The sequence below is a fragment of the Homo sapiens genome, chromosome 22 (assembly GCF_000001405.40).
Source record: "Homo sapiens chromosome 22, GRCh38.p14 Primary Assembly".
In the NCBI taxonomy this organism is placed as follows: domain Eukaryota; kingdom Metazoa; phylum Chordata; class Mammalia; order Primates; family Hominidae; genus Homo; species Homo sapiens.
Window position 1 is genome coordinate 23,548,963 of NC_000022.11, and position 17,389 is coordinate 23,566,351.

General features: G+C 51.6%; 2 annotated features.

Moving 5' to 3' along the window:
• Positions 50-550: an enhancer, noted in NCBI's record as "H3K4me1 hESC enhancer chr22:23891199-23891699 (GRCh37/hg19 assembly coordinates)". NCBI's record gives its function as "activates a minimal SCP1, AML or CMV promoter by ChIP-STARR-seq in primed H9 embryonic stem cells {active_cell/tissue: H9 hESC(primed)}" and the evidence as "EXISTENCE:reporter gene assay evidence [ECO:0000049][PMID:30033119]".
• Positions 16,320-16,614: a silencer, noted in NCBI's record as "tiled region #8041; HepG2 Repressive non-DNase unmatched - State 4:PromP". NCBI's record gives its function as "represses a minimal TATA promoter and a strong SV40 promoter by Sharpr-MPRA in HepG2 cells {active_cell/tissue: HepG2}" and the evidence as "EXISTENCE:reporter gene assay evidence [ECO:0000049][PMID:27701403]".

Consider the following 17,389-nt stretch of genomic DNA (forward strand, 5'->3'; position numbering starts at 1 on the left):
TCCAGGCCTGCTGGGAAAGGCTGTCCACATGGCTGGCTCCCTCCTGAGGAGGAGAGGCCTCTGTGTTCTTGTCCACCCGAATGGGGCTCAGACTGTCTAATCAAACCAGAGCCCGCAGTTTGTGATTGCACACATCATGAACCGAAGGAACTTTCTCACCCAGGGCAGGCCTGCACATGGGGTAGGGGGCAGGCCCTGGTTCTACCTGAGCAAGGAAGAGAACTGTCAGAGTGGCCCCTCTGGTGTTTGAAAGCAGCTGCCATGGCATGAGCCACTCTCTGCCCCCTTGCCCGGCCCTCACTGCATGTCCTCAGCCAATGGCCTCCCAGCCCCAATGCCACTAAACGGCTCTTACAGAAATCCCCAACAGAAATCCCCAACTGCTGCTGGGGGGCCAAATCCAAGTGACCCATTTCCTTCTTCTCCCTTTGATCCCTGTCACGTTGGTTCCCACCCTCCCCTGGTTTTCCCCTGGCCTCCAGACCCCCAGCGCTGATGCCCCTCTTCCCGGCCCCCTGACTGCCTTGACCCTGGGCCCAGCCAATACAGATTCATGATCATTTCCCCCCTCCTCCCTTCTGACTTGGGTCACCCATGGGGCCCTTTCCCTGACCATCCCAAGGGGCCCTGAATCAGGACTGATCACATTGCTCAGCAGATGCTGAGTCCCCGAGGGCAGCCCCAGCATCTCACTCCTCACACACGTCCCCAAGGCTGAGTTTAGAACATGGGATGCAATCATCGAGTGCACATTTATTAAGCACCGACTGTGTGTCAGGACGTGTCCTAAGTTTTCTGTATGTATTAAGAGTACTCATTTTAATCCATCTGCATATCCTCCTGTCTGTCCTCCCGCCCAAGAAAACTGAGGATCAGAGGGGTTACAAAACTTATGCAAGATGACACTAGTATCGTATGGAATAGCTGGGATTTGAGTCCTAGTCTGGTCTGTTGCCATAGCACATGGGCATAACTGTGAAACAGCCTCTCATCCACTCCTCCTGCCCATCCACCCACCCATTCTCCCATCCATACTTCATCTATCCTACCATTCATCCTCCCAATCCATCCTCCATTCATCCTATCATCCATCCTTCATTCATGCTCCCTTCCATCCTCCCATTCATCCTCCCATCCATCTTTCCATCTTTCCATCCATCCTTCAACCGTCCCCCTGTCCATCATCCAACTACCCATCCATCATCCATCTACCCATCCATCCTCCATCCATTCTCCTATTCATCCCCCCACTCATCCTCCATCCATCTTTCCATTCATCCCCTCGGTCATCCTCCATTCATTCCTCATCCAACCTCCATCCATCTTCCACTCATACCCCATGAATCCTCCCATCTATTTTCCCATCTATCCTCCATCGACCTTCCCATTTCATCCTCCCATCCATCTTTCCATCCATCCTCCATCCATCCTCCCAACCATATTTCCATACATTCTGTATTCATCCTCCCAATCATTCCCAATCCTTCCTCCCATCCATCCTCCCACTTATCCTTCATTCATCCTCTCATCCATCTTTCCAGCCATCCTCCCATTCATTCTTCATTCTCCCATACATCCTCTTATCCATCTTCTCATTCATCTTTCCATCCATCCTCCTATTTATTCCTCTGTCCATCCTCCCTTCCATCCTCCCATTCTCTCGTCTATCCTTCATTCATCCTCCTTCCATCTTCTCATGCATCCTCCATCCTTCCATCCATCTATCTTTCCATCAATTCTTCACCCGTCCTCCCATCCATCTTTTCATGCGTTCACCCATCCATCCTTCATTCATCATCCCATCCATCTTTTCATCCATCTTCCCATCCATCCTCCCATTTATTATCCCATGTATCCTTTATCCATTCTCCCACCTATTCTTTATTTATTCTCCCATCCATCCTCCTATTCATCTTTCCATCCATCCACCCTTCCATCCTCCCATTCATCCTCCCATTCATTCCCCCTTATATCCTTTGTCTATTCTCCCATCCATCCACGCTTCATCTTTCCATCTTTCCACCCATCCACCTTTCTATCCATCTTCTATCTATCCTCCCATCCATCTTTCCATCCATACTCCCATCCATTCTTCATTCTCCCATCCATCTTTTTATCCATCCTTCACCTGTCCTCCCATCTGTCCTCCATCCATCTATCATCCTATCCATCCTCCCATCCATCCATCTTCTCATCTATCCATTCTCCCTCCATTATCCCATCCATCTTCCATCCTTCATTCATCCTCCCATCCATCCTCCAATCATCCTCCCAACCATCCTTCCATCCATCCCCCCATCCATTATCCATCCACCATCCATCCTCTCATCCATCCTTCATTCATCTTCTATCCATCTTTCCATTTATCCTTCAACCACCCTCTCATCCATTCTCCCATCCATACCCCATTCATCTTTTCACCCATCCTCCCAGCCATCCTCCATCCACACTTCATCCATCCTTCATTCCTCCTCTCATCCATCCTTCCATTCTCTTATCCATCTTCCATTTATTCCTCTGTTCACCCTGCCATTTATCCTCCCATTCACTCTCCAATCTATCCTCCATCCATTCTCCATCCATTCTCCCATCCATTTTTCCATCCATCCTCCAATTCATTCCTCTGTCTATCCCCATCCATCATCACCATCCTCCCATCCATTCTCCCTTTTGTTCTCCATCTATCTTTCCATCCATCCTTCCAGCAATCCTCCATCCATCCTTCATCCATCTTCTGTTCATCCTCCATTCATTCTCTTTCCACTTTCCCATCCATCCTCCCTCCATTCTCTATCCATCCTCTCATCCATTTTTTCCTTCCATCCTCCATCCATTCTCCCATCCTTTTGTCGATCCTCCCATGCATCCTCCCATCCATCTTTCATTTCATCCTTCAACCACCCTCCCATTCATCCTCTACTCATCTTTTCATCCATCCTCCCAGCCATTCTCCATCCATCTTTCATCCATCCTCCATCCATCTTCCATTCATCCACCCATCCACCCTCCCATCAATCCTCCCATCTTTCTTTCCATTCATCTTTCCTCTATTTCTCTGTCCACCCTCTATCCATCCTCCCATCCACCCTACCGTCTATCTTCCATCCATTCTCCATTTATCTTCCCATCCATTCTCCCTCCATCTTATTCTTCATTCATCCTCCCATCCATCTTTTTCATCCATCCTCCCATTCATTCCTCTGTCTATCCTCTCCTGCATCTTCCCATCCATTTTCCCATCTATCCTTCATTCATCCCGTCATCCATCCTCTTATTCATCTTTACATCCATCCTCCCATCCATCTTTTCATCCATCCTCCCATTCATTCCTCTGTCTATCCTCCCATGCATTCTACCATCCATTTTCTCATCTATCCTTCATTCATCCTGTCATCCATCCTCCCATCCATCTTTCCATCCATCCACCCATCCATCCTTCATTCATCCTCCCATTCATTTTTCCATCCATCCTCCCATTCATCCATTCTCCCTCTATCCTCCCATCCATCCTTTCATCCATCCTTTCGTCAATTTTCTCATCAATGCTCCCATCCATCTTTCCATTTATCTTCCATCCATTCCTCTGTCCACCCTCTCATCCATTCTCCCATCAATCTTCCATTCATTCTCCATCCATCCTCTCTTCTACCTCCCTCCACCTTCCCATCTATCCTCCATCTATCCTCCCATCCATCCTCCCATCCATCTTTCCATCCATTCTCCTATCCATTCTTCTGTCCATCCTCCCATGCATCCTCCCATCCATTTTCCCATCTATCCTTCATCTTTCCTCCCACCCATCCTCCCATCCATCTTTCTATCCATCCACCCATTCATCTTTCATTCATCCTTGCATCCATTTTTCCATCCATCCTTCAGCCATCTTCCCATCCATCTTCTCATCAATCCTCTCATCCATCTTTCCATCCATTCTCCCCCATCCTCCCATCCATCCTTTCATCCATCCTCCCATCCACCCTTGCAACAATTTTTCCATCCATCCTCCCATCCACCTTCCCATCAATCTCCCTTCAGTCTCCATTCATTCTCCTCTATTCCTTGTTCATTCTCTTATCCTCCCATGCCCCAAGCCCTCACTCAGGCTTTGTCATGCCTCTAAGCCTTAATATAGGCTGTTCTCTCAGCCAGGCCTGCTTTTTCTCCTCTTTGTTGGCCCAGGGACTCACACCTGTGTGGGACCTGCCCTGATACACTCCACACCCTCTCCTCCTGCACCTGGCCCTGCCTCTGCAGTACCAACTTCTCAGTGTCCACCTCAGTGCCAGCCACAGATGGGGAGTTCTGGTGGCCTTGCTGGCCCATGACCTCATTGGGGCCTGCTCTCTTGTGGCTCACCCCAAAGCAGAGGGAGTAGAGCCACCTCAGGGACACACACGGTGGGCTGCGCCTTGGGAGAACACAACTAATTTTAACAATGGCCTTAGGGAAGAGACAAATCTGTCCCTTTATTCCCTCCTTAGAGAAAAATCTGTGTGTGCATGTGTATATGCACACATGATTCAGAGCATCAAACGCTGCTGTGACTCGGGTGTCACCAGCCTCATTTGCCCAGTGCTAGAGGGGACAAACACACGACCTCCAGCCACAGGATAGTAGCTCTACATGCTGACTCTTGGCAAGCAGGGCCTGGTGTTTGTCCAGACGCCCAAACCCCTGGGGATGTCCTCACCTGGTTATGTGGTGCCCAGCAGTGTTTCAGTGAACCTTAACCAACCTTGGAGGGCTGCTGGGCAGAGTGGGAGAGCAAGTGTCTGGCTCCTGGTGAGTGGGTGCCCTTGTGCCAGCTAATGACCCCCATGGCCTTCAGCTGCTTTCCTGTCGACTGGGGAGGGGGTGCTCCCAGGCTGCTGTGAGGAGGTGGCCAGAAGAGCGGGAACAGTCCTATGTGTTTCCTTCTCTCCAGAGAGCCTGACCAGGGCTGATGAATTAGGGTGCATGGCCCAATTCACTGTCCATGGATCCACCTTGGATTTGGGGTCCCTGTGGGGATGTGAAGCTTCGGAAACTCCTCTGTCCCCCCACCTTCCTTTTCCCTTCCAAGACAGGATCTGGACTCTTGAAATTCTGCACACTAATAAAATTGTAACTAATTTACATCCAAGATGCGGAGTGAGTGGCAGCGGTTGTCATGGAGACCATCTCCAGGGCCCCGCTGCCTTCGCCTTTCGGTGCAGCCGAGAGTTCAAGAGATTCTCGCCGAGTGCTGCAGCTGGGGCCAGTCCTCATGCCTCCCGGGCACCCTGCCCTGCTCCCCCCATGCTGGGCAGGCCCTTGGGGGATGGAATGGAGGCAGCCCCCCTTGGAAAGGCCCCAAGTTCTGCCGATGGTGTTCTGAAGGTCAAAGTCCCTCTCTCCTGACTGTACATCTGCCCCCAGCACTGCCCATTCACCCTGTGGGCCCCACTGGCTCCGTTCACTCCAGATGGAAGCCCCCTCGAGGGACATGAGGCCCTATCCCCACAGCACAGCCAGCAAAGGCACTCAGAGTGGGGACAGTTTCCAGGGAAGGGGCAGAGCAGCAGAGCCCAAGCCACCCACAGACCTGTCCACCTGGGGTCCACCCTGGGAAATGCCCCACCCTGGACTCCATGAATCCCAAGATGGAGAAAATGCCCTCCGTGGCCTCACAGAGCTTGCCTGCCCACAGGAAAGACGTTGAAATAACCAGTACTGGCCAGGTGCGGTGGCTCATGCCTGTAATCCTAACATCTAGGGAGGCTGAGATGGGCGGGTCACTTGAGGTCAGGAGTTTGAGACCACCATGGCCAACATGGTGAAAACCGGTCTCTACTAAAAATACAAAAATTAGCCGAGGCATGGTGACTCGCGCCTGTAGTCCCAGCTATTTGGGAGGCTGAGGCAGGAGAATTGCTTGAACCCAGGAGACGGAGGTTGCAGTGAGCTGAGATCATGCCACTGCACCCCAACCGGGGCAACAGAGTGAGACTCCGTATCAAAAAAAAAAAGAAAAAGAAAAAAACGAACCAGTGCTGTGACTCTACGCCACACACTGTGCTGAACCCTTCGCATGTGAGATCTTGTCTCAATGTCAAGGCAACACAATGCGGTGGGCAATACTTTAAGCCCCCATTTCATCACGAACAAAAAGGTTGTAGACAGGTGGGTGGATAACACCCAAGTTCGGAGCCCTGGAAAGTACAAGGGCCTGAGGCAAAGCCAGGTCTCATTCTAAAACCGTCATGGAAAAGCTGATAAGCTGCCTGCAGAGAAGAAGCAGGATGAAATAATTATAACAAAGCAGGGTCGATGCAGTCAGAGAAGGGGGTGAGGGCACAAAGGGGCCCTCAGAATCATGAAATCTAAGTTGGGTTTTGAGGGATGAATAGGAGTTCCCCAAGGAGATACATGGAAGAAGAATGTTCTAGGCAGAGGGAACATGTGCAAAGGCACGGAGACGAGAATGTGCCCAGAACATTCAAATACCATAGGCTGGGTGCTGGGGGGTGATGCGGAGGAGGGAGGCGTTCAGTTGGAGCCGAAGAGGGAGCCAGGCTCCAAGGGGCTTCACTCACCAAGCTGAGCGCCCTGCACCTTATCCTGTAGGTGAGAGATTAAAGAGCTGGGTCCAAGCAGGCCCACCCCTGACATCTGTGGGCCCTGGAGCAAGAGCAGAAATGAAGGTCCAGGTAGCAAAGGTCTAGGTGTTCCCAAGTGAGAGAAGCAGCCAGGACGCTGCTGGCTGAAGGGCTCTTCTGTCCTCCTTCCCTCAGAAATGCCTTCACGGGCCTGGGGAGGCCAGGCTCTCATTTATATTCTTGTCTCTTCAGAGTTTTCCACCAGAACGTGAACTGGACCGGGGGCCACAGTCCCCCAGTCTGAAGGGAGACTCATGAAATGCAGATTCCTGGGCCCTGCGGCAGACCCAGGAGACCATGCTCCCGATGAAGATAAGGCGCTATATCTTTAAGAGGTTCCCCAGGTGATAATTATGCATGAAAGTCTAGAGAAGCCCCCCACCCCCTGCTGAAAGTAGCAGGAGTCCGGGGGTGGGGGTGGGGGGTACGTACAAGCAGATTTGTGTTCTAGAAATGGATCCCCAGCTATTGGGCAAATGTGGGCAGGGAGGAGAGCTGGGAGGGGCAGAGAGGCCTGGCAGCACCTAGGTTGGAGAGGGTGGCGGTCTGGTGCCAAGGCAGGATGGTTGGGTGGGGTGTGATACGCGGTGGGGGTGGTGGAGGGGGAAGGTTGTGTCAGCAGAGGCTGAGTTTGAAATTCACGATGGACAGGGCCTGGTGCTGATGAGGCTTGAAGGTGAGCAGGGATCCAGGGCAGCTCCTTTGGGATCATAAAATCTAATCAGACTGCAGGAGGCCTGGGCCCTGGGCCTCCATTAGGCAAGTACCCACTCCCCTCTGCTGATCTGGGCATCCCTGGGGCCCCTTCACTGTCACACTGAGGGTCTGAGTGGGGAAGAATTAAAAGCCCACCTCTGTCCCCGCCTACCACGATCCCCTACAGGAGCCTGCAGCCCTGCTGGGGAGACTGGAGGAGCAGCTGGGAGCAGCAGGCCACCAGGAGGGAAAGGTGGGCATGCCTCGGGGGTGGGAGGGTGGAGTGGCCAGGAGGGGAGGCTTCCCACTGGAGGAGGACTTTGAACCCTCTCACTTTCCATACACAGTTCCAGAAATCATCTTGATAATAAAAATAATAGCCGTGAAAATGACAGCAGCAACTATTGCCCTTAATCGAGCATATTTTTGTGCCAGACACTGAGCATGCAGCAAGGAAGTGGCAGAGTGGGCTGTCAGATCCTGAGCCATGGGCTGGAACCAGCTTTCCCTGTGCCAAGCAGAGAGGGGCTTAAAACTCAACTCCTACCCTTGGAACATTCACAAGCTGTTTGGCCATGAGACTGCTGGAGATGCCTCTCTAGGAGCATCTAGAAGGCTCTAGAAGGTCCATGCCTCTCTAGAAGGCTACGCTGGCAAACACTAGCTGTTGAGACCATGGAGGACTAGACTGTATTTATCAGCTGCAGGAGTTCAGAAGAGGGAGAGCTCATGGGAGCTGCTGGGAAAGGCATGACTTGAGCTGAATGCTGAAACAGCGGCCGCATTTGAAGAAGGGAGAGGAGGTGGAGAGGGGATCCTGGAAGGAGGCTCCAGCCTCGGCAATGGTGTGGGGGTGAGAATGCAGAAGGAGTTTCAAGAAGGTCAAACAGCTGCAGGGGCTGGCGAGTCACTGGAGGCAGGGATGGACACAGATCAGCCCAGGCCTGGTGCGTGTCCTCCTGCTTATTTCTATACCTCCAGGAGAGTATGACACCAGGACATCAAGGCGTCCACCCTTGTCAGGCCTGGGATGGTGCCGCACTGTTGGGGATGGGTTTGTGAGTTCCCAAGAAGAGCCACCCAGTAAGGGCCTCATCATGAAGGGGAGTGAGCTGAGGCTCTTGGGAAAATGGAGGCCTCAGATCTCCCCACAATCTTGGGAGAAAGGCTCCCATACCCCACACCCACCTTGACCAAGGGCCCAAAACCAGACGGGCAACAATGCAGGTCCAGAGTCATCAGCTTGGCCTGACTGTCCCCTGTCTGCCTCCAGCAGAGGTGAGTACCTTGGGTCCAAACCCTTCTGCCCCATTTACTGTGTGACCCCAGAGAAGTTCCTTAACCTCTCTGAACTGAATTTTCTCACTCATAGAGCGAGGATAAAAACTCCAGCCTCCAAAAGCGTATTGATTTGTTTTAGGATTAAATGGGATGAAGCTAAGAACTCACTTAATGGGGATTGCAGTGCAGACATCATGCTTGAAAAATGTTACTTCCCTCCTTTCCACCCTTAAACTCGGGGACAGGTCAGCTGTGACCACAGAAGGTGCCCACTTGACTTGTCCCTTGAGCTTCCACAATCCTCACTGCTTCTGCATCATCCAACAGTGGGGCCAGGCTGAGAATCCCGCCTGATACAGACCCGGTTGCTGTCTGTCTTTACATTTTACATTTAAATCTATGATCCATTACCAGCTTATTATTATTATTATTATTATTATTATTATTATTATTATTATATTTTGAGACAGGATCTCGCTCTGTTGCCCAGGCTGAAATGCAGTGGCACAATCACAGATCACTGCAGCCTCAACCCCCTCCCAGGCTCAGGCAGTCCTCCCACCTCAGGATTAACTAAATAACTGGGACTACAGGCATGCACCACCACACCCGGTTAATGTTTGTAATTTTTGTAGCAATGGAGTCTTGCTTCGTTGCCCAGGCTGGTCTCTAACTCCTGGGCTCAAGAGATCTGCCCAACTTGACCTTCAAAAGTGCTAGGGTTACAGGCGTGAGCCACCATCTCCAGCCTGCTGGTTAATTATTATTATTTTTTGTCCCTTCTCTAGTCTGAAAGGAGCAAGTTAATTTTGTTATAAGATATAAGGTTTAGGTTGAGGTTCATTTTTTAAAAAGTAGATGTCCAAGCTGGGTGCGGTGGCTCACATCTGTAATCCCAGCACTTTGGGAGGTTGAGGCAGGAGGACCACTTGAGCCCAGGAGTTTAAGACCAGCTTGGGCAACAAAGTGAGACTCCCATCTCTAGAAAGCATTTAAAAATTAGCCGGGTGAGGTGGCACATGCCTGTAGTCCAAGCTACTCCAGAGGCTGAGGTGCAGTGAGCCGTGATTATTTCTCTGCACTGCAGCCTGGGAGAGAGAGAGAGAGAGAGAGAGAGAGAGAGAGAGAGAGAGAGAGAGAGAGAGAGAGAGAGAGAGAGACTGTATCAGAAAACAAAAGAAAAAAAAAGGTATCTGGCCAGGTGTGGTGGGTCACGCCTGTAATCCCAGCACTTTGGGAAGCCAGGGCAGGCAGATCACTTGAGGTCAGGAGTTCGAGACCAGCCTGGCCAACATGGTGAAATCCTGTCTCTACTAAAAATAAAAAAATTAGCTGGGCATGGTGGTACATGCCTGTAATCCCAGCTACTTGAGAGGCTGAGGTATGAGAATCGCTTGAACCCAGGAGGTGGAGGTTTTTGTGTGCTGAGATCACACCGCTGCACTCCAGCCTGGGCAACAGACTGAGACTCTGTCACAATTAAAAAAAAAAGATATCCAATTGTTCATCATTTGTTGAAACATCATATGTTTAAAAAAATTTTCTTTATTCATTGATTACTGCACAGTCTTGACTTCCCTCATTTCGCCAGCCTTGCTATCAGATCCTTTGTGCTTTTCATTTCTTCATTTAGTAAATACTGAGAGATAATTGGACACCCATATGGAAAATAAGAATCTTGACCCTTACCTCACATCAAATACAAAGATCTACTCACAATGGATCATAGACCTAAACATAAGATCTATAGCTATAAGAAACTTTTAGAAGGAAACCGAGGAAAAGATCTTTGGGGCTGGGCACAGTGGTTCATGCCTATAATCCCAGCACTTCGGGAGGCTGAGGTAGGAGGATCTCTTGAGCCCAAGAGTTTAAGACCAGCCTGGGCAATATGGTGATAACTGTCTCTACTAAAAAAATACTAAAGGGATGGGGTCTATAGCGAGACCCCCTGTCTCTCAAAAATTAGCTGGATTTAGTGGTGCATGCCTATAGTCCCAGCTTCTCAGGAGGCTGAGGTGGGAGGATCACTTGAGCCTGGGAGGTGGAGGTTGTGGTAAGCCGAGATCACCCCACTGCACTCCAGCCTGGGCAACAGAACAAGACTATGTTTCAAAAAAAAAAATTCTTTGGGACTTGGTGTTAGGCAAAGAGTTCCTAGATATGACAATAAAGCCTAATCCATAAAGAAAAAAATTGATAATTTTCAGCTCATAAAAATTTACAACTTTTGCTCTAAGAAAGATACTGTTAAGAGAATGAACTATGAAAAAATATTTGCACATCACTTATCTGACAAAAGTCTTGTATCCAGAAATTATAAAGAACTCTAATAACTCAACAGTTAAAAAAAAACTAATTAAAAGTGGAAAAAAGACTCATACAGACACTCCCTCAGAGAAGATACAGGGATGACAACTGAACCTATAAAAAGGTGCTCAACCATTATTAGCCACCAAGGAAATAAAAGTCAAAATTACAATGAGATATCACTCCCCGCATCCTTAAATGGCTAAAAAAAAAATACTGATAATTCCAAAAGCTAACAAGTCTGCAGAGCAACTTAAACTCTTGTGCATTGCTGCTGAGGATGCAAAATGATACAGCCACTTTGGAAAACAGTTTGGCATGTTCTTAAAAAGTGAACCATATTCATATCGTATGATGTAGCCAACCTACTCCTGGGCATTTATCCCAGAGAAATGAAAACTTAGGTCCATGCAAAGACACATACATGAATGTTCATAGAAGCTTTATTTGTCATAGCCTAGAAACAACCCAAATAGATAAACAAACTGTGGTCCATCCATACCATGGACTATCACTCAGTAATAAAGAAGAGCCAAGAATTGATCCAGGCAACACCTTGGACAGAGCTCAAAATGATTATTCTGAGTGAAAAAAAAAAAGCCAATCTTTTTTTTTTTTTTTTTTTTTTTTATTGATCATTCTTGGGTGTTTCTCACAGAGGGGGATTTGGCAGGGTCATAGGACAATAGTGGAGGGAGGGTCAGCAGATAAACAAGTGAACAAAGGTCTCTGGTTTTCCTAGGCAGAGGACCCTGCGGCCTTCCGCAGTGTTTGTGTCCCTGGGTACTTGAGATTAGGGAGTGGTGATGACTCTCAAGGAGCATGCTGCCTTCAAGCGTCTGTTTAACAAAGCACATCTTGCACCGCCCTTAATCCATTTAACCCTGAGTGGACACAGCACATGTTTCAGAGAGCACAGGGTTGGGGGTAAGGTCACAGATCAACAGGATCACAAGGCAGAAGAATTTTTCTTAGTACAGAACAAAATGAAAAGTCTCCCGTGTCTACCTCTTTCTACACAGACACGGCAACCATCCGATTTCTCAATCCTTTCCCCGCCTTTCCCCCCTTTCTATTCCACAAAACCACCATTGTCATCATGGCCCGTTCTCAATGAGCTGTTGGGTACACCTCCCAGACGGGGTGGTGGCCGGGCAGAGGGGCTCCTCACTTCCCAGTAGGGGCGGACGGGCAGAGGCGCCCCTCACCTCCCGGACGGGGCGGCTGGCCGGGCGGGGGGCTGACCCCCCCACCTCCCTCCCGGACGGGGCAGCTGGCCGGGCGGGGGGCTCACACCCCCACCTCCCTCCCGGACGGGGCGGCTGGCTGGGCAGGGGGCTGAACCCCCCACCTCCCTCCCGGACGGGGCGGCTGGCTGGGCCGGGGGCTGACCCCCACACCTCCCTCCCAGACGGGGCGGCTGGCTGGGCGCGGGGCTGACCCCCCCACCTCCCTCAAAAGCCAATCTTAAAAGATCACACACTACACAATTCCATTTATATGACACACTCCAAAAGACAAAATATAGAGATGGACATCAGTGGATGCCAGGGGTTAGGGGTGAGGCCAGGGCGTGGCTACAAAAAGATAGGAAGAGGAAGCCTTTTCAGATGATAGAACTGTTCTGGATGCTGATAGTGTGATGGTTACACAAATTGATGCTTGTCATAAAATTCATAGAACTGTACTCCAAAAGGAATTTAATCAAAATGCAACTTGGAAAATAATGATGTAGCGGCCAGGCACGGTGGCTCACACCTGTAATCCCAGCACTTTGGGAGGCCGAGGCAGGTGAATCACCTGAGGTCAGGAGCTTGAGATCAGCCTGGCCAACAGGGTGAAACCCTGTCTTTACTAAAAATACAAAATTAGCCTGGTGTGGTGGTGCACACCTCTAATTCCAGCTACTTGGGAGGCTGAGGCATGAGAATGGCTTGAAACTGGGAGGCAAAGGTTGCAGTGAGCTGAGATTGCACCATTGCACTCCAGCCTGGCTGACAATGCAAGAGTCTGTCCAAAAAAAAAAAAAAAAGATGTGGTGACTCGAGTTCTCAGGTAGTTTCTTCCCGCAACCCACACAGGCCATGGTTCTTCCCCTATAGCACCTTGGAAGGGATTAGAAAAGGGCACCACCCCATGTGCAGGACGCAGCCTGTGCCAGGGCCCTCAGCCTGGCAAATGGAGGACTGGCTGAATTGCAGCTCCACTTGTGCAGTGAGCAACCTACACGACTGTCCATGTTGGGTCCTGGAGCCCCCATCTTTTCTTCTCAGGTTCTGTTATTCCTCAATGGATGGAGTTTTGACAAGCAGTGCCCAGGGAGTAGGGATGAGGTGGCCTGTGCATTAGACTGGACTAACCTGGCCAAGGCTTCTTGCTAATGGCAGCAAATGCACTTAGTGCTGAGGTTGCAGGCTGGTGCTTTGGGGACCTGGAGCTTAATGGCTCACCTGCCAGGGAGGAAGAAGGATGGTCGGACAGCCAGACGCATAGCCAGGATCAGATGGATGGAGGGAGCAGGAGGACTTGCCCCAGCCTGGAAACCCCCCTTCCTCCGAGAAGTGGGGGTGGAGAGTGAGGGGATGTGCAGGAAGGACGCTGCCAAGGAGACTGGCTTTGCCTGAGCCTGTCCCATGGCACATTTTGTCTGCTGATTAATGGTGAAGGTATCATTCCTCTAGAGGGGTAGGTTTCAGGTGGGCCCAGCCACAACCTGCTCTGCCCCAGGGAGCTGGGGATGAAAATCAGGATCCCAGCTCTTTTTTTTTTTTTTTCAGATGGAGTTTCACTGGTTGCCCAGGCTGGAATGCAATGGCGCGATCTCAGCTCACTGCAACCTCTGCCTCCCAGGTTCAAGTGATTCTCCTGCCTCAGCCTCCCGAGTAGCTGGGATTACAGGCGCCCGCCACCATGCTTGGCTAATTTTCATATTTTTAGTAGAGAAGAGGTTTTTCCATGTTGGCCACACTGGTCTCGAACTCCTGACTGCATGTGATCCATCCACCTCAGCCTCCCAAAGTGCTGGGATTACAGGTGTGAGCCACCATGCCCAGAGACCAGATGGTTGTTTTTGTTAGCTTGTTTTTCTTTTTTTTTGAGATGGAGTCTTGCTCTGTCACCCAGGCTGGAGTGCAGTGGTGCGATCTCGGCTCACTGCAACCTCCACCTCCCAGGTTCAAGCAACTCTCCTGCCTCAGCCTCCTGAGTAGCTGGGATTACAGGTGCCCACCACCACACCCAGCTAATTTTTTTGTATTTTTAGTAGAGACGGGGTTTCACTATGTTGGCCAGGCTGGTCTTGAACTCCTGACCTCAAGTGGTCTGCCCCTCCTTGGCCCCCTAAAGTGATGGGATGACAGGCGTGAGCCACCGCACAGGCCGACCAGAGGGTTTTGATCCTGAGGTGCCATGGTTAATTTTCTCTCAGTGGCCCCTGTCAGCAGGCACATTCTATAGTCACAGGAATCCCAGAAACCGGCCAGATGTGTTCTTCAGACCTGGGGGAGCTGGAGACAGAATCCACTCCAGCGGGCGCATGTACGGGCTCCCTCTGGACCCACTGCAGTCAGATGAGGGCTCAGTTCCCCCAGGGCCTCACTCTTGTCTTCCGCCAGGTGGGATGTACTAGCAGGTCAGAGAAGGAAGCCAGTGGCACTTTTTTCTTTTTTTTTTGAGATGAAGTCTTGCTCTGTCGCCTAGGCTGGAGTGCAGTGGCACGATCTCAGCTCACTACAATCTCCCGGGTTCAAGTGATTCTCCTGCCTCAGCCTCCCAAGTAGCTAGGATTACAGGTGCACGCCACCAGACCTGGCTAATTTTTGTATTTGTAGTAGAGATAGGGTTTCACCATGTTGGCCAGGCTGGTCTTGAATTCCTGACCTTAGTGATTGGCCTGCCTCAGCCTCCCAAAGTGCTGGGATTACAGGCATGAGCCACTGCAGTGGCACTTTTTGTTGAAGTGTGACACATACACAGAAATGCATCCCAGGTGTTCACTTCTGTGAACCTTTACAAAGGGAACTCATCTGTAATACCCATCTCCAAATCAAGAATAGAATATAGCGAGCTCCCCAGAAGCCAGGGAGGACCAGTTTTTACAGAATGTAAGGCAGCCAACAGGGCAGCTTGTCCCTCTGCCATTTTCTGTGTCCTCTTGCAGCCAGCAAGGGGAGTCCAGAGGGGAAGAGGCTGGAGCAGCGACCCCCAGCACTGGCCTCCAGCCCTCCCGCCCTGCCTCTCCTCACCATCAGGCCAGCAGAGGGGCTACCCACCGCCTCCCCTGTCACCAAGGAGACCTTGTTCTGGATCCTGAGGACACATCTAGAATCCCATCTGGGGAGCCAGGAAAGCTGGGAGAGGGAGAACACAGAGCCCCTTTGAGCCACTTGTTGGACACCGCCCAAGGTCTCACAGCTTGGAAGGGAAGACTTGAACCCACGGCTGTCTCCACCAAAACCCACAGCCACTGCAGCAGTGCAGGTCATTATCTCCATTTTACAGAATAGGAAACTGAGGCTTAGAGAGGCCAAGAACAAAGCCAGACCTCCAAAGCAGGACTTCTGCTTTGGGCGAACAGGAAGACACAGGCTTCCAGCCGAGGGGCCGGACTTGACCCTGTCCCTCTACGATCAAATGCCTTCTGTGTTCCCCCACCCTCAGGAAGGAGCATAACCTCCTTCACAGCACCCAAGCCCACCATGGCCTGGCCCTGCCGGCCTCACTGTCCTCACCTGTTCTCCAGCATTCTCTGCCTCCAGCACACCAGCCTTTCTCCGTTTCTGCCATGCTCAGAGTTCCTTTTGAGCTTGGGCCTTGGCTCATGTCGTTCCCCAGCAAAGGCTGCTCTTCCCTGCCCCTGCCACATCCTACCTTCAAATGTCGCTGACTCTGGGAGTCTTCCCTGGTGACCCACCCACCCCAGCACACTTATCCTGTCAGTCCCCTTGAATGCCCCCCAAGGTGTAAGTGCACGGCCATACAATGGTTTGCTTAATACGCATCTAGCTCCGAGAGAACTGGGACAGGGGCCTTCTTGTCCTCAGTTGTATCTGCTGTGCCCAGCACAGTCCTGGCACACAGTAGGTGCTGGATGAAGATGTGCTGAGGGCCGGGCGCGGTAGCTCACGCCTGTAATTCTAGCACTTTGGGAGGCTGAGGTGGGCAGGTTGCCTGGGCTCAGGAGTTAGAGACCAGCCTGGGCAACATGGTGAAACCCCATCTCTGCTAAAAGACAAAAAACATTAGCCAGGCGTGGTGGTGCACACCTGTAATCTCAGCTATTCAGGAGGTGGAGGCAGGAGAATCGCTTGAACCCAAGAGGTGGAGGTTGCAGTGAGCTGAGATTGCACCACTGCACTCCAGCCTGGGTGACAGAGGGGCTCTTTCTCAAAAAAAAAAAAAAAAAAAAAAAAAAAAAAAAAAAAAAAGATGTTCTGAGACTCTGAGATGCATGAGGCTGTGGCTGGCAGGCAGAGGGGAGCCACAAGGAGCCTTGAGGGACATAAGACCCAATACCATCTCCATAGGAGGCCTGGGGAGGGGCAGGGCCTTGCTCAAGGTCACACACCACCTAGTGGAGCCTCAGGATTGGAACTCAAATCCCCTGCTCTCCAGCCTGCAGCCTCCCTCCCAGATGCAGCCTAGTGCTGGGAAAGGAGAGGGTGGCAGGCTGGCTCTGAGCAAAAACCCTCTCCTTCTCCTGTTTGCGTCCCTCTCCTTTCCCTGCCTCTCCCCACTCTTCCTCTCCAACCAGGAGGCTGCCGAGCCAATGGCTCAGCGAGGGCTGGGGAGCCCTGACCTGACCCTCTCCTCCCTCCACCCAGCCTCTGCGATCTGTATGCACCACTTTGCTAAGACCTCCCAAACCTCTACACCCTCGCAGGCTGACAGGGCTGCAGGTGCCAGCACTGACCTCCCTCTGCCCTCTGCTCCTGTCCCTCCCCTTCCGCAGGCACCGCCCCCACCACAACTCCGCCACCTCCAGCCGGGCTCTGGGGTCCTCCTGGGCCACCTGCTTACTGTGTGTCCCTGGACACGGCGTCTCCCCTCGCTGAGTTACTTTCCTCATTTGTAAAACGGGGATATGACCCGTCTCTTAGAGTGACTGGGAAGATCGGTGGTATCAACGCAAACTACAGCCCGGCAGCTTCCAGGCAAACTCACTTCTCAGGACGCCTGTCCTGCTGTCTTCTCAAAGAGGTGGATGAAGCCACCACCACCCGGTTTACAGATGAGGAAACTGAGGCTCAGGGAGATCTGGAAACCATTCCCGGCAGCTGGGCTCCGAACCCAGGCCTGCGAGCACAAGGCTGGCTCCCGCCCCCGGCTGTGGTCCCTCCTCCTCCGGGGCAGGGTCCGGTCGTGCCAGACGCTCGATGACAGCCCCCGCGGGGGAGGCCAGGCTGGGAGAGGAGAGGGCAGGGGGCGGGGGCGCCTGACCGCGTGGGGTCGGCCGCGGGTCGATACGACGGCGGGATGAATGGGAG